Genomic DNA, 25,132 nt, shown 5'->3' with positions numbered 1-25,132 from the left:
CAGCCCAGGACACACACTAGGAAGTAATAGGGCTGGGATTAGCACCTGAGTGTGTGTGACTCCAGATCCATGCTCATAACCATCTGGCCTCGGAGCCCTCCCACAGGGCTGTGAGAAGAGATTGTCTTGCTGGGCCAGTGGGTGCAGGAGACACTGAAGCTTGGAATAGGGTGGGATTTTTCTCCCTTACAGGGAAGGAGAGAATTGAGTGAGGGGAGCCTTAGCAGTCCCTGACTCCACCCTTTCTCACTAGATTTGGGGGAAACTGAGGCCCATAATAGTTGGAGAGGCAGGATCCAGAAACCAGGGGGGTTTGTTTACCTTGGCCTGGAGTTGGCTCCTCCCAGGTGGCTCCGCCTCTGTGTAGTGCCCTCATCCCTCCCTCTCTGTGTCCACAGGCTTCCTGTCACTTCGTGTCACATCCCACTCCTGTCCTTCACTCCCTCTCAGTCTATCCAGCCACCCCCAGTGTGGAGAGCAGACTAGACTCCTTTCTCGGACACTGCCATTGCCTCGTCATAGAGGCAGGGCAGCCCCAGCTACTCACTCTGAGCCTCAGGGTCCTTGTCTGTGAAATGGGACCATACCACCACTGCAGAGCTTATGTGAGGGGCAAAGCAGAGACTGTATGCAGAGCACATTGCATAGCTGCCAGTATGTCAAAAAAGCCAGCACTCCACAGTTCCTTTATGCAATACTTATAACTCCAGGATCTGTGGCTGCTGCCACTGTGGATGGTCCCGCCACGGACTCTTCCAGCATCTAGTGAGCTGAAAGGAAGGAAAGATGGTATTGGCACTGAAGCCTGAAACTCAGCTGAAGAAATAGAATTCCGTGCCATGACAGCTGCACATGCCACATTGGGTGTCCTGGGTCCTCTGTGACAAGAACCTTACTGAGGTCTCTGTGTGGTCTGAGATTAGCACCAGCAGCATTGGACCGTTGCCTTCTTTCTTCCTCCAACAGAAATGCCTCCACGGCTGTGTACGCCTGTTGCAACCCCATCCAGGAGACATATTTCCAGCAGCTGGCACCTGCAGCACGGAGCTCCGGCTTCCCAAACCCTCAGGATGGCGCCTTCAGCCTCTCCGGCAAAGCAAAGCAGAAGCTGCTGAAGCACGGGGTGAACTTGCTCTGAACTGCACCCAGGAGGTGACTGGGAAGGAGAAAACCAGCAAAGGAAGCTCTGCCTTTTATAATTGAAAAGGCCCCTCTATTTTATTTTTCTTGAAAACATTCCCTTTTTTAGGAACCAAATGATATTTGAGTTTTTGTTATTCCTTTTGCAGATTGGGATGTGTTTTGGGGGCAGGGGTTAGTTCTTCAGGTCGGCAGACCCAGAGCACTTGATAAAGAACTGTATTTAATCGGTAGTGTTGGGGCCGGGACGGGCTTGGCTCCCTCTCTGCCATACTGAGCCTGAGGTATTTCATATCTCCTGCTGTTCCATCCCAGCTTGAATTGGTGCCACAAGCTTCCAAGTTGGCATTTTTTCTAGAACCTGATCGTCCACTAGCCCAGAGTGTGTGTGTTCAACCCCCACACCAGGTGGTGGTAGGCGGTGTGACTGCACAGCGAGGTGCCGGATCTGTGAGCAGGCCGACTCCACTCCCACGCCGCAGGTAGGTTTCTCCAGTGCGCTCTTGCTGGGAGGTCCGGATCGTTCCTGCAGGGAAGCGGCAGCACACGGAGACCACTTGGTTGAATTCTGTTGGAACTCTACTCAAATCTAGGGGCGTCTTCTTTGGACCCACAATGGGGGCAAGCCTTAATAATATGGAAGGGAGTTTGGGCTTTAGAGATCCCTTTATAAAAGCTCTGGGGGCTGAGCCCTGAGAATTCAGTGACAACAGGACCAACCTGCGCTGCCTTTGACTACAAGTGGGCCGTGCAGCTGGTTCCTCTCGAGCGAGTGTCCCTAAATAGGAGTTTACAAGATGTCTGGGGGTAAAAGCACTGTGCTTTTCAGTGGTGGCTGCGTGAAAGGGAGCGACACTCAGCTGTGTGTTCCTGGGCTTGTGTGGTACTTAGAACCTCAGTTCTATTACGTTATAGTCAGACATTTTTTTGACAGTATGAGACAGACTGCAGGATGAAAATATTTGTCAAAATCTTAACTGAATGTTTACTGGAAGTACTTGAGATTCCATTTGAGAGTTGTATTGTTAATAATTTCATGTCAGTGAACTGATATCTGATGTTTATGATATGGTGTCTTTTTCTTGAAACAAGCTTCCAAGGGCTAGAAATAAAATAGCCAAAAAATGCTGGAGTTCTGAGTAATTAAATGGCAGCATTTTTTTGTGACAAAGGTAAGGGTTAAGACAGTGTGTGTGTGTGTGTGTGTGTGTGTGTGTGTGTGTGTGCGCGCGCGCGCGCGCGCGTAACGTGGGCGCATCCCTCTTTTCCTTCCCTGGGTTCAGTGTGGCTGGGTAAGGACCGTCTGTTTGTAGGGCTGCCAGGCTGCAGCCTGCTGCTCCAGGGAGCACCAGCTGCAGCTGATCCAATACACCAAGCCTGTGTCTCCCTCTTCTATCACCTCTCTCCAGGATCTCTGCTGTCTCTTGGATCCCATCTGCCTAGATGGAAGAGGATCCTATCCGAAGCTAGGATAAATGTTGTCTTACTCCTCTGCTATGTTCTCCCAGAAAAAATTGATTACAAGTTCTCTGCTGTGGTTGCTGCAGCTCCAGGAAGTCCCCGCAATGTCTCACGTTGTCTTTGACCAGTGGTCCCCAGTACCAGGCCAGCGAAGACAACTTTATAATGTCATTTGTGTTGTGAAAATTCTTCCACTGACCCAAAATGGAACCGTACAAAGCCTATCCGTGTATATGGAAAAGTCTCATGCACCTGGATTAACTCAGAAAAAGTAAAGTCCTGAAACTTCACTTTGCAGGTGTGCCCCTTTCTTTCCTCCTTTGATCCTGCTTAGTTTCTGCAGTGGAGGTTCTGCTCAGAGCCCCAGGGCACTGGCAGCTGCAGCCGTCATCTCTAAAGCTTGGTAACTGTGGCCCAGAGGCTGCAGAGAAGAAACACTTAACCCGCTGTTTTCCCGTTTTTTAATATTTCAGAGGTTTCAGGGGGTCACTCAGGACACGGTTAATCCCACAGCCCCAGGCCCATCCCCTCAAAATTAGCGCCCCCAGAGTACGGGCCAAGCGACGGACAGCCAAGCAGCATGTTCTTGCTGGAATGGGCACCACAACCTCTTATGGCCATGTTTCCCAAGGGAAGGCAGTGTGCAGGACAGCCTGCCCACCCTGGACTCCTAGTTGACACCGAGTGCCACTGTCAGTGATCCAGGACCACAGATTCTAGTGACTCTTCAGGGCAGAAAAGCCTCTGTTTTGGCTTCCTCTGTGCCAGCCATCTGCCACCTGTGAACTGTAAGGATAAAGGTCGCATGAGTGATTAATAGTGGTGTGTTAGTCCGTTCTCACGGTTCTAATAAAGACATACCCGAGACTGGGTACTTTATAAAGGAAAGAGGTTTAACTGACTCACAGTTCTGCAGGGCTGGAGAGACCTTGGGAAACTTATGATCATGGCAGAAGGGGAACCAAACACATCCTTCTTCACATGGTGGCAGCAAAGAGAAGTGCAGAGTGAAAGGGGGGAAAAGCCCCTTATACAACCATCAGATCTCACGAGAACTGTCACAAGAACAGCATGGAAGTAACCACACCCATAATTCAATTACCTCCCACCAGGTCCCTCCCACGACATGTGGGGACTATGAGAACTACAAAATGAGATTTGGGTGGGAACACAGCCAAACCATATCAAGTGGCAATCAGATTCCTACTGGGAAAGGACCCCTAGAGGGGATGTTTGAGCCTGATCAAACTGTCTCCTCCCCTGGAGGGAAGCATCTAGACTTCTGGGCCGTTGTCACTTCAACCGACAGAGGGTGGTAGCAAGTGGAGCCCAGGGGCTTTGTTGAAGTCGCCCTCCATGGTGTCTGTCTTGCATATTTGGTGGTCTTTTCCAATGTGGCTAAGATGTACTTCCCATGCCGCCCAGTTACTGCGTTCTTAACACCCCGCCCTGCTCGGGGTGGGTGAGTAGCAGCAGACCTTTCTCTGGTGTGAGCCTCCCTGCCACAGGCCACTTCCCTGTGTGTGCAGTGAGCTGAATGGTGGCCCCCAAAGATCAGGTCCCAATCCCCAGAACCTGTGAATGTTGCCTTGTTGGATCGGATGTTTGCAGATGTGGTTGAGTGAAGGATCTTGAGACGAAGAGATGATCCTGGCTTATCCCGTGGTCCCTAAATGCCCTCACAAATGTGCTTTTAGGAGAGGGGCAGGGGGAGGTTACTCACGTGGAGAAGGCCACGTGAAGATGGCAAAGACTGGAGTGATGTGGCCGCCAGTCAAGGAATGCCAGCAGCCACCAGGTGCCAGAAAAGGCAAGAAGTGGATTCTGCCCTAGAGTGTGCGGAGGGACTGTGACTGTCAACGTACTGAATTCGGTCCCGTGAAACTGATTTCAGACTTCGGCCTCCAGAACCGTGAGAGCATGGGTTTGTGTTGTAAGCCTCTGGGTATATGCTCATTTGTTACAGCAGCCAGAGGAAACAAATCCATCCTCCTGCCAACTTGCTTTCTCCTTGTGATGCCCAGTTCCCTCTCTCTCAGTAGCGCCGAGCCACAGAGCACGGAGGGCGTGAGAAGAGCTGGGGCCCCACATGAGGTTGCCATGGCGCGGGGCACAGGGGAGCCTTTAAGCAGGGGAGTGGGATGGGCGCGGTGTGACGCCTGTATAATCCCAGCACTTTGGGAGGCCGAGGCGGGTGGATCACTTGAGCTCAGGAGTTCAAGACCAGCCTGGCCAACGTGATGAAACCCTGTCTCTACTAAAAATACAAAAATTAACCAGGTGGGGTGGCGCATGCCTGTAATCCCAGCTACTCGGGAGGCCGAAGCCGGAGAATTGCTTAAACCCAGGAGGCGGAGGTTGCAGTGAGCCGAGCTGAGATTCATTGCACTCCAGCCTGGGTGACAGAGTGAGACTCTGTCTCAAAAAAAAAAAAAAAAAAAAAAAATGCAGGGGAGTGACTGGAGCTGGTTCTCATGAGGAAGGTCACTAGCTCCTGAGTAGGGGATAAGCTGGGCAACAGTGGAAACCACCAGGAGGCTATGGTTGTCCAGGTGGGAAGTGGAATGGCTGAAGCAGAGAGGAGGCCAGATAATGGGCAGACGAGCCTGGGCACTGATGAGGTTTGGGGCGGGGAGGGACAGCCCCAGTGGAGAAGGCAGCCAAGGAGATAGATTCCTGCCCTGAAGGAGCTGGCGGACGGAGTGAGCAGGAAACCCACACTAATACTCTCAGCCTGTGCTCCCGACACACACACTCCTCTCCCAACCCCTGAACCCACCGCTGCTCCTGGGAAAAGGGCAGTGGGTGTGGGAAAGCACTTGTCTCCTGCTTTGCTTCTTGATTCTGACTGCCACCCGGCTCTCTGTGAGGAGACAGGGGAGGGCAGGTGTCAGACCCACTCTCAGCATCCTAGCTTAGAAATAAAACATACTCTAGATCTTTCTTCAACATATTTGTTGAGTTTGAGAAGCTTACAGTGAAGATTCTAAGGGCTTCAAGGTGAAAATAGGACACCTTCTCTGTTGATCCAGTATTTAAATGTCCAAACCTGAAATTAGCTGTACTTCCCCTGAGAATAAAACCCAGAGAGTGCTTTGGAATCCTGTCAAGAGCTGGGAGGTGTTTTATGATTGCCTGTGCATGCCGAGGTATAAGCCGAAAAGTTGCAACCCTTCTCCCCTGCCCTGCCTCGCTGTCAGCTGGGCCAAGCACCCTGAGGAAAGGGCTTGAGGCCCAGGCTGCCAAACCCATGGGGAGGAGAGGGAGACAAGTCCTCTACCGAGTGTGCTGTTCAAAGACACCTTGTGCATCCTTCCTCCCCACCCAGGCTGGACTGGCTTGTGTGGCTGTGGCAGGAGCACATGGGCTTTGGTGTCAGACAGCTGGGTTCAAATCGCAGCTCTGCCACTTATTGCTGGAAATCAGGGCAAGTTGCTTTTCTGTCTCTGAGCCTCAGTGTCCTTTTCTTTAAAATGGACAGGAGAAGGAAATGGATGTAAGGACTTGGCCTATCATGGGCCCTCAGCAAATGGAGGGTCCTGTTGAGTGTTCTGAGAAGGCAAATGGCCTCCCAGCACAGGGAGAAGGACCTGGGGGCCGGAGGGGTGTGGTCCTTCTGCATGTTGAGGAAGTGAGTCCTGGATGTGTGTCCAGACTTCAGAAGATGCGCTGTGCTGCGAGCCTGGATACTCGGCTTCCAATTCCAGCTCGCCCTGCAGCTGGCTGCGTGACCTTGTTCATGTCAGCTGCCCGCTCTGAGCCTGTTTCCTCATGTGTTAAATGTGCAATTGACAAGGATGAGGTAGGGGAAGGAACCTCGTAGGGTGCACAGTGCTCTCCATGCTCAAAGAAGCAGGTGCCCTCACCTCGAACGTGGGGGTGGCTAATGTATGGGAAGCGGGGAGATATGGGGAAGGGCAGGTACCCAGAAGTTAGAAGCAACGTGTGTGCCTGGGAAAGAGGCGGAAAGTAAACCAATCCCTGTGTGTGCTCCCTCCTGCCTCCTAATGCTGCAATCTGCTTGAGTGTTTTCCCTGCCATCTGTCAGCAGTTCTAAAATATGTGGCCTTATTCTGTCCTGTTCCCTGTGTTTACATCTGGTTAGCAAGATTCGGCTGGGGAGTTAAATGTTATGGAAGGTTGCTGGCAGCAGGCATGACGGTCCTCAAAAACCTCATTCTGTGCTTAGCCTCTGCTACTCATATTTACATCCTGACAATGTGTATGGAGCACCTCTCCCATCCACCCAGACCACGACATAATAGCATCTTACCAAAACCTCACTTGACACTCACAGAGTGGATTAGGACTTTTGGTGGCAAGGATAGAAACCACAACTCAAACTTGGCTTACGAATAAAAGGCGCACTTATTGGCTCATGTAACAGAAAAGTCCAGAGGTAGAGCTGGTTTTCGGCAGAGCTGCGTTCAGGACTCACGTGATCTCCACAGCGCAGGCCCCGCTTGCCTCCGTGGGTTTCTCTCTCAGCTTCTTTCCCTTCACCTCCCCCCACCACCCCACCTAATAAAAAGTGGCCTCTCTTTCACAGTCGTCCCAGAAAAAGAACTTGGATCACGTGTCCAGCCCTGACCCAATCTCTCAGTGGCCCAGAGTTTGGAAGACTGATTGGTCAGATCTGGATCATGGGCCCAGCCCTGGAGACCCAAGGACTGAGCATGGGGATGTTATGGTCTTGCAAGAGGCTCATACTGTTGGCAGGATAGGTTTAAAAGCAGTGGCTGCTGGCCAGGCGTGGTGGCTAATGCCTGTAATACCAGCACTTTGCGGGGCAGAGGCAGGCTGATCACTTGAGGTTAGGAGTTCGAGATCAGCCTGGCCAACATAGTGAAACTGTCTCTACTAAAAATACAAGAATTAGCCAGGCGTGGAAGCGGGCACCTGTAAGTCCAGCTAGTCACGAGGCTGAGGCAGGAGAATCACCAGAAGGTGGAGGTTGCAGTGAGCCGAGATTGCGCCACTGCACTCCAGCCTGGGCAACAGAGGAGACTCTGTCTCAAAAAAACAAAAACAGATAACAAAAAACAGTGACTGTCCTCTAGAGACCAAGCTTAGGTGGCCTGCCCGGTGTTACACAGGGCCATAGCTCAGACTTTAATGTCCAGGCTGAATGGTTTCAAAGGCCTTATCATTCTTGCTACTCACAGCAGCGACCCCCTCAGCCTGAGCTACACGTTAGAATCATGACCGGAAATGAGTTTAAAACAAAGACCCGTGCCTGGACCCCACTCTCGGAACAATGAAAAAAGATGCTTTGGGAGTGGGGTGTGTGCTTTGGGGTTTCCGACAAGTTCCCGGGTGACTGCATCGTGCAGCCACAGTCAAGGACCAGCACACCAGGATCACTCCTCTCCCCCACAGTATGCTACGGAGCACTCAGTGTTACAAGTTTAATCGCTGTCACCAAGGACAGAACCCAGACAATCTGGGTGACTCTAGGGGCTGATGAACAGGTGCCTGGGAGAAAGGGTTTGGGATCAGAAGACCTGGGGTGTGACCTTCTACAAATAGTAATTGGTCTGGCCTTGAGTACATGGGAACAGAGGGAGCTTGAGGCCAGTCCAGCCTGTCTCGGGTGGAAGGCAGGATTCCCATTTGCAGCCGGCTGGCTCCCCTTTCTCACCTTGAGCCTCCAGAGCTACAACACGTAAATTAGCTTAGCAATGCCTAGCTGGCAATGCACACTTGAGGAGGGTGAGAAACATCGCGATCCCAGGTGAGTGGCGCTCTTCCCTTCCGCTTGTTGTGGCAGCCCAGCCCGGACAGCTGGCTGGAACCTCGCTTGCAGGTGGAAACATGCGGCAGCCCGGCTGCTTCTAGGGCTCCTGGCTGGGAGACCCCCCTGTCTCCCTCTCTTCTAAAGGGAAAAACATGAAAAACACAGCTACTGAGGGACATGTTTCTTCCTCTGTGATTAGACACAGGCAATTGAAAGTAGCCACTGGCTTCTCTGGCCACACCCACTGCTGTCCCGATGTGTTTTCCCATCTCTTCCATTTGGCGGCCTTCCTCTTCACCTGTTTCTCTACTCAGCTGTGGCAGAAAGGGAAACAAGGTTGTTGAGTGCCCTTCATGTGCCAGATACTGCACATACCCACAGAGGAGAAACTGAGGCTATGAGAGGCTAAGGGACTTGCCCAAGGTCCCGAGGGTGCAAACTCCTGGCACGGAGTCCTAAATCCTCAGCTTTTCTGAAGCCAGGGTCCTTGTTCTTCTTTGCCCAGTTAGACATCTATTGCTCCTTAACATATCCTAGATGTGCTCTTGTCCCCACCCCACTAGTCCCATTGCTTTGGGACATTTTGCTTCATTCACTATCCACGATCAATTCTAGTGACCCGCCTGTCTCTGTGACATCACTCAAAACACAAGAGCCTCAAAGTCACTTGCCCCCTTCTGCCTAGCAAGTCTTTTTTTTTGGACAGGGTCTTGTTCTGTCGTCTTGGCTGGAGTGCACTGGCGCGACCTAGGCTCACTGCAGCCCCCGCCTCCCAGGTTCAAGTGATCCTCCCACCTCAGCCTCTCAAATAGCTGGGACTACAGGTGTGCACCACCACACTCAGCTAGTTTGTTTGTTTGGTAGAGACAACGCCTCACTATATTACTCAGGCTGGTCTCAAACTCCTTGGCTCAAGCAATCCTCCCCGCTCAGCTTCCCAAAGTGCTAGGATTACAGGCGTGAGCCACCGAGCCTGGCCTAAGTCTTTCTTTACAACAGATGACCTCACCACTTCACTCTGGTTTTCAGCAAGATCCTTTATTTATCTTCTGTTCCCCAGACATGTCACATGAATGCAGGTAGCTAGGTACCTGCGCGGGCTGTTGGTTTTGTAAACGCAGAGCAGAGCAGTCACGATGTGTAGAAATCATGCACCTCAGTGATTCTTTAACAAGATAATGAGTAAAAAGACTTCAGGTATGTTTGAAATGTCTGCCTTTTCCTGCATTCTCATCACTGACAAATATCTGTGTAGACATTTTACTCAAATGTAGACGTGCTCTTTGCACACTTGCTAGTACCTGCCTGGTGCATTTCAACTGTGTTTTCTTCCAACAGTTGTACCTCTTAGAAGCTGCTGTTTTCCATTTGGATCTAAACACTGGACCTGCACCTGCGACCAGCTGTATATTCCAAACCACTCCTCGGCTTTATAAATCTGACACTGCTCATAATACATTATTCAGAAAAGGCATCTCTAGTGTGGCTGGCCGGCTACGCTTTCACACATCAGCTAACACAGGCTATTTCTAGAGTGAGTGCCTCAAACTGGTCTCCTGGGACCTTTTCCTTCGGGAAGAGATCCACATGTTCTTCACAGGAGACCAGAAAACCAGCACAACGGCCACGGGTCCTCTGGGCATGTAGGTCTTCTCTGTCTCCTCACTAGCACACACTGGCTTGGGTCATTGTCACGCAGTGCACACCTTTGTGCCATGACAAAGACACAGGGCCAACTCTTCCACTATCTCCAAGTCTAGTGTTTGAACATTTATGTACAGACAAATAAATGAAAAAAAAAAAAACATAGGCAACAGAACTCCAAAGCAAAACAGAAACTTTGGTCAGATCTATTATTCCAGTTTTGCCAGAGAAAGGCTTTCCCCAAATGTCGCTGGGTGAGCGCGGTCCTATCCCCCTACAGCTCCTATCAGCCAACCTGGTGGCCTTAACGTTCATCACTGTGGACTCAAAACACCTAAAACTGGGAATTTTCCAGGCCCAGTTTGGCAGTAGGGCTTCTGTAGGCAGTGAGGTAAGCGGATCACACGTTCCGTGGCTGATCTGTGTGAGCCGCAGCTTGGTGCTGGGGGACACCAGCTTCAGCTTTGCAGGAAAGCCATGTTTAAAGAGTAGCCTCCAGTCCTACTGGCCCAATGCTTTTGCCATCAGGGACCTGACAAGGTTTAGAATGAGGTGAGCGATGGTGACAGTATCCCTGGGCCTGGACACTGTGTGCCACCCTGACTGTGTCTGGCAGCCCCTCCACCTGGCTACTGAAGCCAGTCAGGTGTGGGGGCTGCAGACTGTCCCCCTGCCGTCAGGTGGCTGAAGGGTCCCCAGTGTGCCAGCATCAGAGGCCAAGTTCTCTAGCTCTCTGGTTTGCAGTTTTTAGTTTTTTTTTTTTTTTTTTAAGATGACCACAAGAAGTTTTACATTATTATATTCAGACAAATAACCATTTAGTTACTCTATTTCAGAGCACTGAAAAAAACAAGTAGCAACAGAAGACAGACTTACAAGGGCACTAAGTCTCTGGTCACTCAAGGACCAATCAAAGGAATGCGCTGTTAGGCCAGAAAGGAGTCTCTGAAGCAAATGATTGGAAGGAAAAAAAAAAAATCTAAGGAAATACAAGCCGAAAAGTTTCCATTTACAATAACCAAGGGAAAGAGGGACCCGACATGATATAAAATCCCAAATAAGAGCTTTCCGCTGAGGCAGGTTTCTGAGCATGGAAACAACACCGGTAGGGACTGGACCGGACCACAGTCTGCCCAGGCCCCGCCTCGGCCCTTCTCGCCGACTCCAGCATGGGAAATACTCTCATCGTCCCGGAGCAAAGATGAAATCAAGAGCCTGCCGTTCGGCCGCTGCGACGTTTGGATGCCACAAATCCACCATGAAAACCACCCGTGGGCCATCCTCTGCTGAACCTGGGGGGGAAGGAGGGGTGAGAGGACAGGTTCAAACCACCCTGGAGTCAGGACCCAGGATCCAGGCAGGGCTGGACCCTACGTGCTCAGCTTCGGGGCAGGGACCCCATCCTGTCCCTCGGCTCGGATCGGACCACCTCCTCTCTCACTGAGAGCATAAACCTGGCTTCATGGGCTTCTGAGCAGGGTGGACAAAAGGAAATGGGGAGATGGAGGGATCTTTAAGTGGGAATTTTTACGGCAGTGAAACTATTCTGTATGATACTGTCATGGTAGGTCCGTGTCATTATCCATTTGGCGAAACCCACAGAATGGATGGACAACACCAAGAGTGAACCTTAATGTCAACCATGAACTTTAGGTAATAATAACGCATCAATACTGTGTGTGTATATGTGTTATGGGGTGATATGAAGGGGCCTCCTTGGTACTTTCTGCCTGATTTTTCTGGAAACCTAAAACTTCTCTAAAAAAATAAAAGTCTATTCATTGAAAAAAAGGAAGTGGGAAAGGCAGCCACTCACCTTCATGGAACGCAGCATGCAGGAAAGAGTCATCAAAGAGAAGGCAGCGCCCTTCTGCCCAGCACTGGGGCTCTCCCCCCACCACCAGCTCACAGCCATTTGGAGTTTTCAGACCTTGTAGGAAAACCAGAGAAAGGAGAGTGAAGGCAGGCAAGATTCAGGGAAGGCCAGGAGATAGGGGGTGATTTGCCTTACTGAGAGTTTTTGACTTCTAAAGCACCTGACCTGCCTCACACCTCTGGAGCCCGTGCTATGGTCTGAAGGCTTGTGGGCTTGTGTCCCTGCAAATTCCCATGTTGAAACCTGACCCCAAGGTGATGGTGTTAGGAGGTGGGGCCTTTGGAAAGTGATCAGATCATGAAGGTGGGGTCCTAATGGGAGCAGCATCCTTATAAAACAGGCCCAAGGGAGCTTCTTTACCTCCTTTTGCATCTTTTTTTCTTTTCCCTTTTTTTTTTTTTTTTTTTGAAATGGAGTCTCTCTCTGTTGCCCAGGCTGGAATGCAGTGGTGTGATCTCGGCTCACCGCAACCTCCACCTCCCAGGTTCAAATGATACTCCTACCTCAGCCTCCGGAGTAGCTGGGAGGCACTGGAGTAGCTTACAGGCACCCACCACCTCACCCGGCTAATTTTTTTGTTTGTTTTGTTTGAGACAGAGTCTCACTCTGTCGCCCAGGCTGGAGTGCAGTGGCGCGATCCTGGCTCACTGGAACCTCTGCCACCTGGGTTCAAGCGATTCTCCTGCCTCAGCCTCCCGAGTAGCTGGGATTACAGGCACCTGCCACTGTGCCAGGCTAATTTTTGTATTTTTAGTAGAGATGGGGTTTCACCATCTTGGCCAGGCGGGTCTTGAACTCCTGACCTCGTGTCCACCCGCCTCAGCCTCCCAAAGTGCTGGGATTACAGGCGTGAGCCACTGCACCTGGCCGAATTTTTGTATTTTTAATAGAAATGGGGTTCCACCATGTTGGCCAAGCTGATCTCGAACTCCTGACCTCAAGAGATTTGCTTGCCTCAGCCTCCCAAAGTGCTGGGATTACAGGCATGAGCCACAGCACCTGGCCTGACATCTTTTTTTTTTTTTTTTTTTTTTAGATACAAGGTCTTGTTCTGTTGCCCAGGCTGAAATGCAGTGGCTCCACCATAGTTCACTGCAGCCTTCACCTCCTAGGCTCTAGAGATGCTCCAGCCTCACCCTCTTGAGTAGCTGAGACTATAGGTGTGCACCATCATGCCCAGCTAATTTAAACTTTTTTTTGTAAAGATGGGGTCTTGCTATGTTGACCGGGCTGGTCTCGAACTCCTGGCCTCAAGCTATCCTCCCACCTTGGCCTCCCAAAGTGTTGGGATTACAGGCAAGAGCCACTGCTCCTGGCCACCTCCTTTCACCATGTGAAGTCACAGTGAGAAGGTGTCATTTATGAACAAGAAGCAGGCCTTCACCAGACGCCAAATCTGCTGGCACCTTGATCTTGGGCTTCCAGCCTCAGAACTGTGAGTTCTACATTTTTGTTGTTTATAAGCCACCATCTAGATCTTCACTGCACTCTTGGCAAAAATTCATTCCTTCATTGGCTTCATCTATTCTGGGTCATGGATTCCTTTTATGAAAGTCACAGACTGACATTTGCACTACACTCTGAAGCCTAACCAGGGGACCCCCAGAAATCCAGGGAGGTTGGGTTTAGAACCTTGCCTTACCCAGTAACTGTGTTTACTGTAGTCTCCCCTCTAGGACTATCTCAGTTGCGATTAAAAAATCAAAGGCTCACACAGTGTTCTCCTCCTTGGGTTCTAGCCTTTTAATCCGTTTTGAGGCTGGAGAATGGCGTGCTCTTCGTCTGCCCTCATTCTGGGAAACTGGAGGACACTTCTAAGGTAATGGCTTAGGTTCAAGAGGAAATAGACTGGCAGCTTTGTAAGAAGCCGTATGCTTGGCTGGGCACAGTGGCTCACACCTGTAATCCCAGCACTTTGGGAGGCTGAGGGGTGGGCAGATCGCGTGAGGCCAAGAGTTCGAGACCAGCCTGGTCTCAAACATGGTGAAACCCTCTCTCTACTAATTATCCAAAATGAGCCAGGCATGGTGGCAGACGCCTGTAATCCCAGCTACTCGGGAGGCTGAGGCATGAGAATTGCTTGAACCCAGGAGGCGAAGGTTGCAGTGAGCCGAGATTGCATCACCGCACTCCAGCCTGGGCGAATCGCACCACTGCACTCCAGCCTGGGCAACAGAGTGAGACTCTGTCTCAAAAATAAAAATAAAAAATAAAAAATAAGCCGTATGCTTCAACCGGCCAGTGGGGTCCGGTTGGAACACTGCCATGTGTGACCCTCAGTCGCCCTTTCCAACACAAGGGTCTGCAGAAACACTTGGCCCCCATCACTACCTTGATGTCCAGAAAAGAAGGGGCCACCGTGGCCATCTAATGATTTCAGAAGGGGTTGGGTCAGCCCAACAGCTCTCAGGAAGGCCCACCCAGGGGGAAGCAGAGTCCTGGAAGAGGAGCTGGGATGGGTGGTGGTCTCATCTGTCTTCAGTGACTCACTGTGACCACAATGACCCTGGGCCAGTTGGCATTCCCCTCTGATTTAATGTCCTTTAGCATAAAAATGAAATAGCTTTCCTTCCAGCAGCCAGAGTATTTTAATGTATTCTTTGAACCAGAAATAATGGTTCCAGGAAGTACGTTCACAGTAATAATTCAAATAAAGAGGCCACATGGAGGAGACAGAAGGACGGAGGACTTGGGGACAGACGACTGGTTGTGACTCTTATGTGCTGTGTGACTTTGGGCAAGTCACTCAGCCTCTCTGAGCCATACCCTCACCTGTAAAGAGGGGACATTAGCATACTGAACCTTCCAGGGCTGCTATGGGACTTCTATCCTTGTTACCAATAACTGAAGACCTACTGTGTCTTCCTACTCAGCTTTGTGCTAAATACACACTTAACAGGTATCACTTCACCCACTTTCCAGATGGGGTAACTAAGAAGTTAAATGACCTGCTAAAAAGTTACCATTTAGTGTTGCTGAGTCAGCCTGACTCCAAAGAACAGGCTGTTATAAAACTGGACATGATGATATAAATGCTAGTTGTTATACTATTAACAGAGGAATTAAAGTGATTGTGGAGTTTTCGATTTTTCTTTATTTATTATTATTTTTTTTGAGACAGAATCGTGCTCTGTCGCCCAGGCTGGAGTGCAGTGCCATGATCTCAGCTCACTGCAGCCTCTGCCTCTTGGGTTCAAGCAATTCTCCTGCCTCAGCCTCCCGAGTAGCTGGGATTACAAGTGTGCACTACCGTGCCCAGCTAATTTTTGTATTTTTAGTAGAGATGGGGCTTCACCATGTTGGCCAGGCTGGTCTCGAACTTCTAGCCTCAAGAGATCCACCTGACTCGGCCTCCCAAAGTGCTGGGATTACAGGCTTGAGCCACTGTGCCTGGCCTGATTGCTGATTTTCTTGTAGTTAACATGTCTGATAGTTAATACTGAGTTTCAACTTGATTAGATTGAGGGATACAAAGTATTAATCCTGGGTGTGTCTATGTGGGTGTTGCCAAAAGAGATTAACATCTGAGTCAGTGGGCTGGGGAAGGCAGATCCACCCTTAATCTGGCAGGCACAATCTAATCAGCTTCCAGCAAATATAAAGCAGGCAGAAAAACATAAAAAAGTGAGACTGGCCTAGCCTCCCAGCCTGTATCTTTCTCCAGTGCTCGAAGCTTCCTGCCCTCAAACATCGGACTCCAGGTTCTTCAGCTTTGGAAACTGACTGGCTTTCCTTGCTCCTCAGTTTGCAGACAGCCTATTGTGGGACCTTGTGATCATGTGGGTTAATACTTAATAAACTCCCCTTTATATATATATGTGTGTGTGTGTGTGTATGTATGTATGTGTATATATATATATGTATGTGTATATATATATGTATATATATGTGTGTATATATATATGTATATATGTGTGTATATATATGTATGTATATATATGTATGTGTATATATGTATGTGTATATATGTATGTGTATATATGTATGTATATATATGTATGTATATATATGTATGTGTGTATCTATATATATGTATATATATGTGTGTGTGTATATATATGTATATATATGTATGTGTGTATATATCTGTGTGTATATATATATCCTATTAGTTCTGTCCCTCTAAGAGGACCCTAATATGTTTCAACTCTCAATAGTACATTTCATTAAATCAGCTGAGACTGCTCATCCTGACAGAAGCCATGATTTCCCACTATGGTTAACAGCAGCTGGGGGAGTCAGGGCTGTAAAGACGCCCAGATGGAGGGACTCAGAGGCTACGTTTTCCTTTGGCGTGTGCCCCTACTGGCTGGTTCAGGTGGCGAAGGCCTTTAGGAATGGGCAGTTCTCTGCAGGGACAGCCACCCCGGGGTTTCAGAAAGAAGCTCCCCTTTCTCTGGGCCACTAAATGATTCATCGCCACGTGCCACGGTGCGATAGAAAAATGGCCTGGCCTGCTGGCTTGACACCCCCCTGCTTCTTGTTCTCCGCCTCCCCTTCATTCTGCTCCTGCCCCCATTCCTGCCTGTTGCCCACAAACCAGCTTAGTTGGCAGAAGAGCTCAATTCTTCCCTAAACAGATCATTCCAGTGGCTCTTGAGGACAGTGACAGGTCCCACACATGGCCTCAGATAGTCCCATATGCTCCTCTATGGCTCAAGCTTTGCTGCTCTGTCCCTACCGAGCCCTGAAAGAGGCAGGAAGGAGGGTAGAGAAAGGGCTGTGTCCACCAGTGGCCCCCACTTCAGGCGGCTGGCAACCGGGCACTCAGGGTGGGCAAGGGGAACATGAGCTGATCTACTGTTACCACCCGGCTAGACCACCTAGAAATCTGATGACATGCAGAAAAGAAAAACAAGAGTCTAACTGTGCTTCTTTAGCTAGAATTTGCTGAACATATTCATGCATTTTCATGAAGTATCTGCCTCCCTGGTAACATCTGCCTGGTGAGTTTCAGAGGTGGTTTTCTGGAAGTTTGTGGCAGTGCATCTGGAATATCCCAGCATTGTGTACGATGCTGAGTGGGGGGTGGGCCTGAAGCTGTCCTGTGGTCCCATATGAAGTCGGGACTAGGTGATGCCACCTCTAGAAGTAGCTCACAGCAGGGCTCAGCAAATATGTCTCGAACAAATGGGCTGTGTTAGTGAGGAGCAGTGGCTGGGTCTTCAGTGGTCCACAGGGACAATTCCATCAGTCACAGCTCAGGCAGAAGGCAGAAGAAAAGCAAGCATTGGCATTTCAAGAGCACGGTTCTGGAACTGCAGGTGCCTCTACCTTCAGCCAGGTAACCAGCAGAGGTGTGGCCACCAGGTACGCACCAGGCTTATCCTGCTTCTGACCTCATTCTCTGGACTCCCTCTCTGTCAACACACAAGGTCACATAAATCCGACACACCTTTGTTTCCTTCCTGGGTGGATATTAATGTGGGCATGATAGTGTAAAGAAGGAAACGCTGAGAAAACCCAACCAGGGAGCTCGCCTTGGCCGTGGAGAACAAGCCACGCCACAGTGGGACGTCTTCCAAGAAGGTTTCCTGCTATCTACAGGAACATGGAGGGCCTACTTTTTCTGGCAAGTACCTAGCTGGGCTGAGAAAGGAATGACAGGCCACAGGCCACAGTGTGAGCCAGCGTGGGCATGTTTTACACACACACACACACACACACACATGCATGCATATCATACAGATGAACAACAAGTGTTAATCTACAGAAAGCAAACCCCAGATTTTCCTTGCTACCATCACTTCCTACTCACACCTCTTTGAAATTCTACCACATCAGTCCTCAAATGCCCTTCCCCAGATGTCATTCTGAAGTTTTAAAACAATACATAAAGGCAAACCTTTCAAAAGAAGAGCATCACTCCCCATTGCCCACGGCCTCCATTCTCAAGCCTGGCATCAAGGGCCTCTGAGGTTTGCTCCCACCTGACCTGTCCAACCTCAGCCCACACTACTGGCCTCCCCAGCAAGCCTAGACCCGGCTTCCCCAAGCCCCAGGGGATGATTCCGCTCCCTCGCTCCACCCTGGCGGCACCTGATTTCTGTGTGGGGATCCTCCAGTGTCAGACCCACCTCCCCAGGGCACCCCGTCTGCAGCCAAGTGAGGCTTGGGGCCTCGCACAGCAGTTTTGCTAATGACCATCACCTGGATTATCATCCCATCACTTAGATTAGCTTACTGTCCACTGCCCTCTACCTGCCAAGCATTTTACACATATTACTTCCCACTCCTCAAAACAGCCAGCAAGTGGGAATCGTCATCTCTGTTTTAGAGAAGATAAAACGGAGGCTTAAGGAGGTTCAGAGCCCTGCCCAAGGTCACTCAGCAAATGGGGCGAGGCCAGGACCTGAGTCCAGATCTGTTTGCTTCCGAAGCCTGTTCCTTTCCCACTGTTTCCTGGGGGCAGGGTCTATGTCTTATGGATCATTTTTCACATGGTCCAACACAGTCCTTGATAATAGCTACTAGCTCCCATTCATCAAATGCTGTCACGTGCCAGGAATCCTGCCAAGGGGCCATGTAAGATGCCACTCATTGAATCCTCTCAACAATCCTGTGAAGTAAGTACCATCTCCCCATTTTACAGATGAAGAACTGAGGCAGAGAGAGACTCAGTGACCTGCTCAAAGTCTCACGGCTGACTGCTGACCAGGAATTCAGGCCACCTCCCCCAAAGCCTCCACCCAGTCCGCCCTTTACTCTTGAAATTCCTACCATGTCAATTGCTCAAATCTCATTATATTTTTCTTTTCTTTTCTTTTCTTTTCTTTTCTTTTCTTTTCTTTTCTTTTCTTTTAGTGCAGTGATATCCTCCATCCAAACCACATCTTACTCAGAACCCCCACACAGACAGCAGGAGAAGCAGAGCTGCTGAGGGTGAAGAGGGCTCGGGGGCCCCCAGCTCCGGCTCCTTCCCAGGCAGCCCTGAGGCTCCTCTGCAGAACGTGGTTATGAAACTCCCACTCCAACCCATGCACCAGGTTCCTCCTGCTGCTCTTCCTTCCTCCCTACTGAAGCTGAAGCAGCGTTGTGAACTTTGTAAAGCTGGACGCTGCCAAGGCTGTCTCTGCACACTCTAATCTGAGATACTAACCGGTGATGCCACCATCCCAGAGACGAGCTTTTTATCGCCACTCACCAGGAATAAGGCATTCTGGGGAACTAATACCTCCATGATTAAGTTGTTTTAAGCCTACTTTTATTGAATACTTGCTCTATTTTAGGCTCTGTGTGCATACATACAATACACATTATCTGATTGGATCCTCAGAATAACTCTTTAGGAGAAGATCTTTTTACCTCCACTTCCCAAATAGTGAAATTGAGGCTCAGAGAGGTGAAATGACTTGCCTACAGTAGCACAGCTCGTGGTGGGGCCAAGATGCAAACAAAGGCTGTCTAACTCCAGTCTTTGTTTGCAAAACCACAGCCGCACACACAGTACGCATACGACCAATTTTCTCAGAATCGGAGTAAAACAAGCTTATCACCAAGGATCATTTCATCCTTGATGACTGCAAAGATGCTTAAGTATCTTTCACAGCCTCCTGGACATCATTATGAAGCTCGGTAATCATTTTAACAAGTCTTTGGCTCTAGAACGACACTGTCCCCATACGGTAGCCACTAGCCGTATGTGTCACTGCTATTTAAATTAAATTAAAATTTAGTTCCTCAGTTACAGGAGACAAGTTTCAAGCACTCAATTAGTCACATGTGTCTAGTGGCTACCATTTTGGACAATGAAGATGGAGAACATTTCTGTCACTGCAGAAAGTTCTTTGCACAGAGCTGCTGTCAGAAATTAGGTTTGCACTGATCACAAGATTTCTTTTTGACTCAATCTCTGCTGTCAAATTGTTTACATGCAATTCATCAGTTTTTGCTAAAAGTGAACAATGCGAAAAGGCGCAATTCTGACCATTTGAGCTTTCGCGATGTTTTGATGGAGAGGGGCTGAGCTTGCAAATGTGCATGCCGGGAGACCCCTGTCCTTGCAACATACCTAAATGGCATCGGATGCGGATGTTGGTGGGTCCATAGTGCTCCGTTATCACAGTCCCAGGGCTCAGCACAGAGATGCACGCGTTCCCAAAAACATTGTTCCCAATACAGGTCCGAAGGCTTCCGAGCAAGCGGTACGTCCGTGGGCACTTCCTACAGTTCCTGGGAACACAAACCCCCTGATTGACCAAGTAAAAGGTGAACCACTCCCCGCTGGGGGTGCTGTTCATTTTCCATCCTTGCGGGAGGCTGCAGTTTGAGAAAGCTTTGTAGAGGGTCTCAAACTCACACAGGATGGTCTGGAAGTTCCGTTCCAGCACTTCCACATCATGTTTCTGTGCGTCCCGGGAGAAATAGGGCGTGGTGGGCAGGTCGGGCAGGAAGAAGACCTCGGGCTTCTGGATGGAGGGCCGGCTGTTGAGGTACCGGCCCTGCTCGCGGATGCCCTTGTGGATGCGGCCCATGCCGGACCAGGAGTAGCGCTTGGCGTACTCCTGCAGGTTGTGGTACAGCTTCTGGTTGAGGCCCTCGTTGTGGGTGCAGCGCACGCACTCAGGGGACTGGCAGTACACGTAGCCATTCTGCAGCCCGTTGGCATCGGCAGCCTGCATGAGGGAGTTGACGGAGACGTAGGGCCGGGGCTGCTCCCTGCCCACGTGATAACAGTACCACACGAAGAGGACCAGGAGGCAGGCCACAGTGATGACAGCGGTGGTGTCGCAGTCCCGCACGGACTGGATGCCGGTGGCGATGCAGTCCCTCAGGCCATCCAGCGACCAGCTCCAGGCCACCAGCCACTCGAGCGACATCTTGGGGGAGTCCTTACTGGGCGTGTGAAGCAAGGTCAGACAATCAGTCCTCGGGGGTCCCAAGGGCGCCCACACCATGCAGATTAGCGTGGGGGGGAAGGAGCGGCTGGGGCAGGGGGAGGCATGGCTGCCACCGATCCTCAGATACTGCCAGGGGCGGCATTGATGAACGACAAGGTTGGCCGTGCCCACTGCTCCACTTTCCGGCAAAAGTCACTGCAGTGGGGTGGAAGAGGCTGGTTTTTGTCACATTATCAAGTGCCGTCGGTCCCTGTGAAAGGATTTGTTTAGGAAAACCAAACCTGGGATGGAAAAAAAAAATCAGCATAAATTTTACACCTGGAAAAGTCCTCAACTGAAATGTAAAGTGTTAGATCGTTCTGTAGGATCCTAGTTGGTGGGGGTCACACTTTGCAATCTTGTGTATTCCCTCCCCATTCTACTGCCACTCCCATTTCCCAAAAGGCCAGTAGTATTTCATCTGCATCAGGTACTGCTTATAATTACAGTGGTCCCATCTGCTTTGTGCCCTCCATAGGAGGTGCTATTATCCCCATTTTACAGATGAGAAAACTGAGGCTCAGAGAAGTTACATAACTCACGAGAGTTATACAGCCAGGGCAGAGACTCAAACCCCATCTGACTTCAAGGCCCATGTCTACCCATTTTGCTGTGCTATTTCATCATAGGTATTTAATCAATGCTTATACTCCTGTGATCGCTGTACCTTTAATTCAAAAGAATCCTGGATTCAAAAGCATCTTAAAAATGGCAAAGGGACTTAAAAACTGCATATTCTCCATTTCACTTTCTCTTTGCAAGCATTTCATCATCCTTATTTCATTCTGTTGCCCTTCTGACAGAGGTTGGGCTAATACCAAGTTGGAAGAGGAAGTAGGCACTCTTGAGGTCATGCCTGCGGCAAAGGGCATTTTCTGTCTACCCACCTGGAGACTACCTATGGTCTCACCCATAGGGTCATGAAAGGAAAATGAGGGAGGTAGAATGAAAATAAAAGCCCTTCCAGGCCTCTGCCTCAGTTTCCCACAGCTGACAGCATCTCCAAAACAGCCAGAAGTGCTTTGCCACTTACCTAGCTGGGGGTTAGGGACAGAGCCCGGAACTCTCATTGTCCTAATAACCTAAAAGGGCCTGAATGTCATGCTGCCTAAGTCTCTCAAACCCCAGCCGTGTTTCCCAGCATTCTCCAAAACCTTTTGTTCATCCTGCTTCTTCTAATACAATGAGAACAGCCAGGTCTCTGCTTCTACAAGTCTGATACTCAGGGAGCACAATTTCAAATATCCCTTTTGTACTCTACCCTCTCACAGCTTAAAAAATGGAAAAGTTGTACCCTCCCTTTACCCAGGGACTGAAATTTGGCCTGAAAATTCTTGCAGCATCGTAGCAGAGAGAAGCCAGATTAGAGATGGGCCCAGTTGAGGATTCATCCCAACCTTGGGCAGATCGCTTTTCCTAAGCCTGTTTCTTTTCTTTTGAGACGGAGTTTCACTCTTATCGCCCAGGCTGGGGTGCAATGGTGCAATCTTGGCTCACCACAACCTCCACCTTCCAGGTTCAAGTGATTCTCCTATCTCAGCCTCCTGAGTAGCTGGGATTACAGGCATGCGCCATCACACCCAGCTAATTTTGTATTTTTAGTAGAGATGGGGTTTTTCCATGTTGGTCAGGCTGGTCTTGAAATCCCAATCTCAGGTGATCCGTCCACCTCAGCCTCCCAAAGTGTTGGGATTACAGGCGTGAGCCACTGCGCCTGGCTGCCTCAGTTTCTTTATCCATGAAATGGGGTTCGTGTTCATCTCACTGGATGAAGATGAATGATGGCGGATGGACAGCACTTACGACCACGTCATAATGAGCACCCAATATATGCAGGCGACGGCTAGGATGGGTGGCATCCCATAATGAGTAGCCAGCGTTCCAAAGGTGGGGCACGAGAGAAAGGTATAGCAAGACTCGGAATTCCAACAGTTAAAGGTAAATCCTGGACACTCTTGTTGCCTCATGTATTGAGTGGCTTTTTTGTCCCCAGACTTGCTAAGCTAAAAATGAAAGGGAAACCTTAGGTGCTCATTAACTGCCTACTTGCTTTTTCCCAGTTTCGGTTGAATAATCACTTGACTATAATGTTTAGTAAGTCAAAAACACACATGCTGAATATTCATGGAAATTTTTTATGTTTCTAGGAAAAATACAAGAGTGGGGAGGTTAGAAGCTAAGTTGTTTTTTGTTTTCTTTTGTTTTTTTTTTTTTTTCTTTCCCACACATTCTCAATTTCTTCTCAGATTCAGGAGAAGAGGAAAAGGCTATGACTCACTGGAGGTTAAGAAACCCCTTCAGCCCCCTGTTTCTCTCCTTGTTAGACCATAAACTGGCAGCTGTTACTCTTTAGGAAAAGGAAAGAAAATCCAGATGAAAGATGTTTTGTTTGCAAGCCATCTCCCAAACAGAACCTCAGAGTTCCTGAAATTCAGTGTGAAACAATCATCTATGTGACACCAAGCACTTTTACTAAAAGGATTTCCCCCATCACTGAGCTAAACCCCTACTGGAACTTTTCAACTGAGTCTGTCAGGAGGAAAGGTTTTTTTCTTAAATGTTCTAAGAGTGAGACGGTGATAATTTAACAAGCACCTGTAAAGTGTTAGTTCCCATCAGCCCTGCTGATCACTTAAGTCAAGCAAAATGCAGACACAGAAAACAGGGTGGATGATGGAGAAACCTCTCCACTGGACACCCCAGCCCTGTACTCTTCTCAGGAAAGCCTCCTTCTGTACTAAGCCAGCCATGAGCCCTCCCTAAGGCTGAGCTGTAAGCAAAAGAATGTAAAAGATTCTGAACCCCAGCTTCAGACCCTCCTCCCGAGATCATAAATAGCACTGAGAGCTCAAGTTAGGACTTTTCATACCTGTCAGTCACTTTTAGCCAAAATATGCCAACAGGCCCCTGCACCCGGAGGTGGATTTACAAGCTCAAAGCTGAACTATGACAATAAAAGAAACACATTTGCAGAGTGACTGGCAGTTTATTAAGCACTGCTTCAAACATTTGATCCTCACAGCTACCTAGTGACAACTCCCCATCTACCCAGTGGGGAGAGGAGAGACTCTCTCCCCCGACAGCTCCTTGCCCAGTGACCACAGTAGCTTCCAGCTTCCTTCGCACATCTGTTCATTGTCATCTGTGTTATTTCTGTCCTCATCAGGGATGGGGACATCTCATTGCAGCTCTGCACTTTAATAATAAGCAACCCCAGATCTTCCAGCTCAGTTGGCTCTGGGGAATTGAGTCCAAATCCATGGCCAGTTGGAGAGCAAGTCCAATCCAAGACAACTTCTCACACCATGAACACCTGGGAGAGCCGGTGTCAGGCCTGACCTGGTCAGCCTAGTTCAGATGTCCATTCCCAGAGGCTGCCTAATGCCAAAGAGTGTCTGCTCACCCTCAGGATGAGGCCAAGTCACCCTGGAAGCCCCCCAGTGAGCAGCACTGGGCAAGGTGTGTGATGCCTGTCACCCTCTCCACTCAGGAGCCAGAGAGATGCCGTGGGGCCAGCCCTTCCCGGTGCAGACCTGGGGACCTTCCCTCTCTTGGCCAGCTTCTCAGCACCCACCTGCCCTGGAGAGTGGGAAAGAGGGGAGGGCTGAAGATGGGTTAGCACAGATGGTGACCACCAGGAGGTCAGGGGAGGAGGGGGATGGGACGATGGAAAGGTGAGTGTTGCCCGGAAAAGTGGACGATCAGCTCAAGATTGTGGAAGGAGGTTTATGGCGCCTCATAATTCGTGGGACAGGGGAGGAGGGTCACCACGTGAAATATGGGAAGTGGGTGATGCTGAGGGCTGGGGGAGGGGACAGGAGGTGAGGAAAGAGGGGTCACAGGGGAGAAGGGAGATGGAGGAAGGGACCACGATGGGGCAGGGAAGAGGAGTAGGAGGAGGTCTAGGGAGGGTGATGCCCGGCTCCGAGGCGGCGGCGCTTAGCACGTACGAGCACTGGCCTCGGCCGGGCCGGGATGCGGGCGCCCGGGTCCCGGAGCATCCTCGGCGGGGGCGGCGGCGGCGGCGGCGCCGGTAAGGGAGGGCCGTGGGCCTGCAGCTGCCGGGCTCCCGCCTCCAACCCCTGTCCTGGGGTCGGCCCAGCCGCGCCGCCCTCCCGCCCCGGCAGCCCCCGGAGACGAAGCTTACCTGCGCCCGGGCGCGCGGACGGCTGCCGGGACCCAGGAGACGCCGCCGCCCGAGGGCGCGGACCCGCGGACGGCCCCTGCCCGGCGCCGCGGAGCCGCCGCCTGGCTGCTGCCCAGCCCACGCCGCGGGAGCCCGAGCCGGAGCCCGAGCCCGAGCCTAAGCCGCGCCGGTGCCCCTGCCGGTGCCGACGCCGCGCTGCGCTCCGCGGGGCCGCGAAGACCACAACTCCCACAATGCCGCGCGCGCTG

The 25,132-nt window shown here is 50.4% G+C and overlaps 2 protein-coding genes across 59 annotated transcripts in view, besides 4 other annotated features; one reads left to right on the top strand and one right to left on the bottom strand.

Annotated features, from left to right (window-relative positions):
• Positions 1-11,262, top strand: part of HPS4 (HPS4 biogenesis of lysosomal organelles complex 3 subunit 2) — a 40,755-nt gene extending 29,493 nt beyond the window's left edge. For 32 of the 58 annotated variants that reach the window (NR_146312.1, NR_073135.1, NR_146314.1 and 29 more), the window contains one exon: positions 967-3,489. Coding sequence is in view for 41 of the 58 variants with exons in the window: in NM_001349902.1 (NP_001336831.1) it covers positions 967-1,203 (237 nt within the window). In the remaining 17 variants the exon portion in view is untranslated. Of the gene's footprint in view, positions 1-398; positions 3,490-9,676 lie in introns of those variants that run through there. The other 26 variants (XR_001755364.2, XR_007067985.1, XR_007067983.1 and 23 more) reach the window with 5 other exon arrangements.
• On the bottom strand, positions 9,356-25,111 carry ASPHD2 (aspartate beta-hydroxylase domain containing 2). Its single transcript, NM_020437.5, has 4 exons — positions 24,885-25,111; positions 19,870-20,979; positions 11,799-11,912; positions 9,356-11,274 (listed from the first exon to the last, which is right to left on the bottom strand). The coding sequence occupies exons 2-4, from the start codon at positions 20,753-20,755 to the stop codon at positions 11,165-11,167; spliced, it is 1,110 nt and encodes a 369-aa protein (NP_065170.2). The 5' UTR covers positions 20,756-20,979; positions 24,885-25,111; the 3' UTR covers positions 9,356-11,164.
• Positions 11,156-12,355: an enhancer, noted in NCBI's record as "MED14-independent group 3 enhancer chr22:26837982-26839181 (GRCh37/hg19 assembly coordinates)". NCBI's record gives its function as "activates an origin of replication core promoter dependent on BRD2, BRD4, P300/CBP and CDK7 cofactors, and independent of MED14, by STARR-seq in HCT116 cells {active_cell/tissue: HCT116}" and the evidence as "EXISTENCE:reporter gene assay evidence [ECO:0000049][PMID:35650434]".
• Positions 13,668-13,824: a silencer, noted in NCBI's record as "fragment chr22:26836513-26836669 (GRCh37/hg19 assembly coordinates)". NCBI's record gives its function as "represses an EF-1alpha promoter that drives an FKBP-Casp9 reporter gene in an ReSE screen in K562 erythroleukemia cells {active_cell/tissue: K562}" and the evidence as "EXISTENCE:reporter gene assay evidence [ECO:0000049][PMID:32094911]".
• Positions 22,934-23,228: a silencer, noted in NCBI's record as "tiled region #14748; HepG2 Repressive non-DNase unmatched - State 22:ReprW". NCBI's record gives its function as "represses a minimal TATA promoter and a strong SV40 promoter by Sharpr-MPRA in HepG2 cells {active_cell/tissue: HepG2}" and the evidence as "EXISTENCE:reporter gene assay evidence [ECO:0000049][PMID:27701403]".
• Positions 24,961-25,020: a silencer, noted in NCBI's record as "silent region_13568". NCBI's record gives its function as "represses an Ori minimal core promoter by ATAC-STARR-seq in GM12878 lymphoblastoid cells {active_cell/tissue: GM12878}" and the evidence as "EXISTENCE:reporter gene assay evidence [ECO:0000049][PMID:35858748]".

Source organism: Homo sapiens, chromosome 22 (assembly GCF_000001405.40).
Source record: "Homo sapiens chromosome 22, GRCh38.p14 Primary Assembly".
Classification (NCBI taxonomy): domain Eukaryota; kingdom Metazoa; phylum Chordata; class Mammalia; order Primates; family Hominidae; genus Homo; species Homo sapiens.
The sequence above is the reverse complement of the archived record's forward strand: the minus strand, read 5'-3'. Positions and strand labels throughout refer to the sequence as shown.

What these genes read in the sequence shown, in the direction of transcription:
- ASPHD2 (NM_020437.5), bottom strand. Translation starts at nt 20,755, where the DNA reads ATGGTGTGGGCGCCCTTGGGACCCCCGAGGACTGATTGTCTGACCTTG. An exon ending in CCGCATCCGATGCCATTTAG is followed by an intron (nt 11,913 to 19,869) that starts GTATGTTGCAAG and finishes TTTTCCTACAAG; the next exon opens with GTCTGAAAACTCCAAATGGC. An exon ending in GCATGCTGCGTTCCATGAAG is followed by an intron (nt 11,275 to 11,798) that starts GTGAGTGGCTGC and finishes CTTCCCCCCCAG; the next exon opens with GTTCAGCAGAGGATGGCCCA.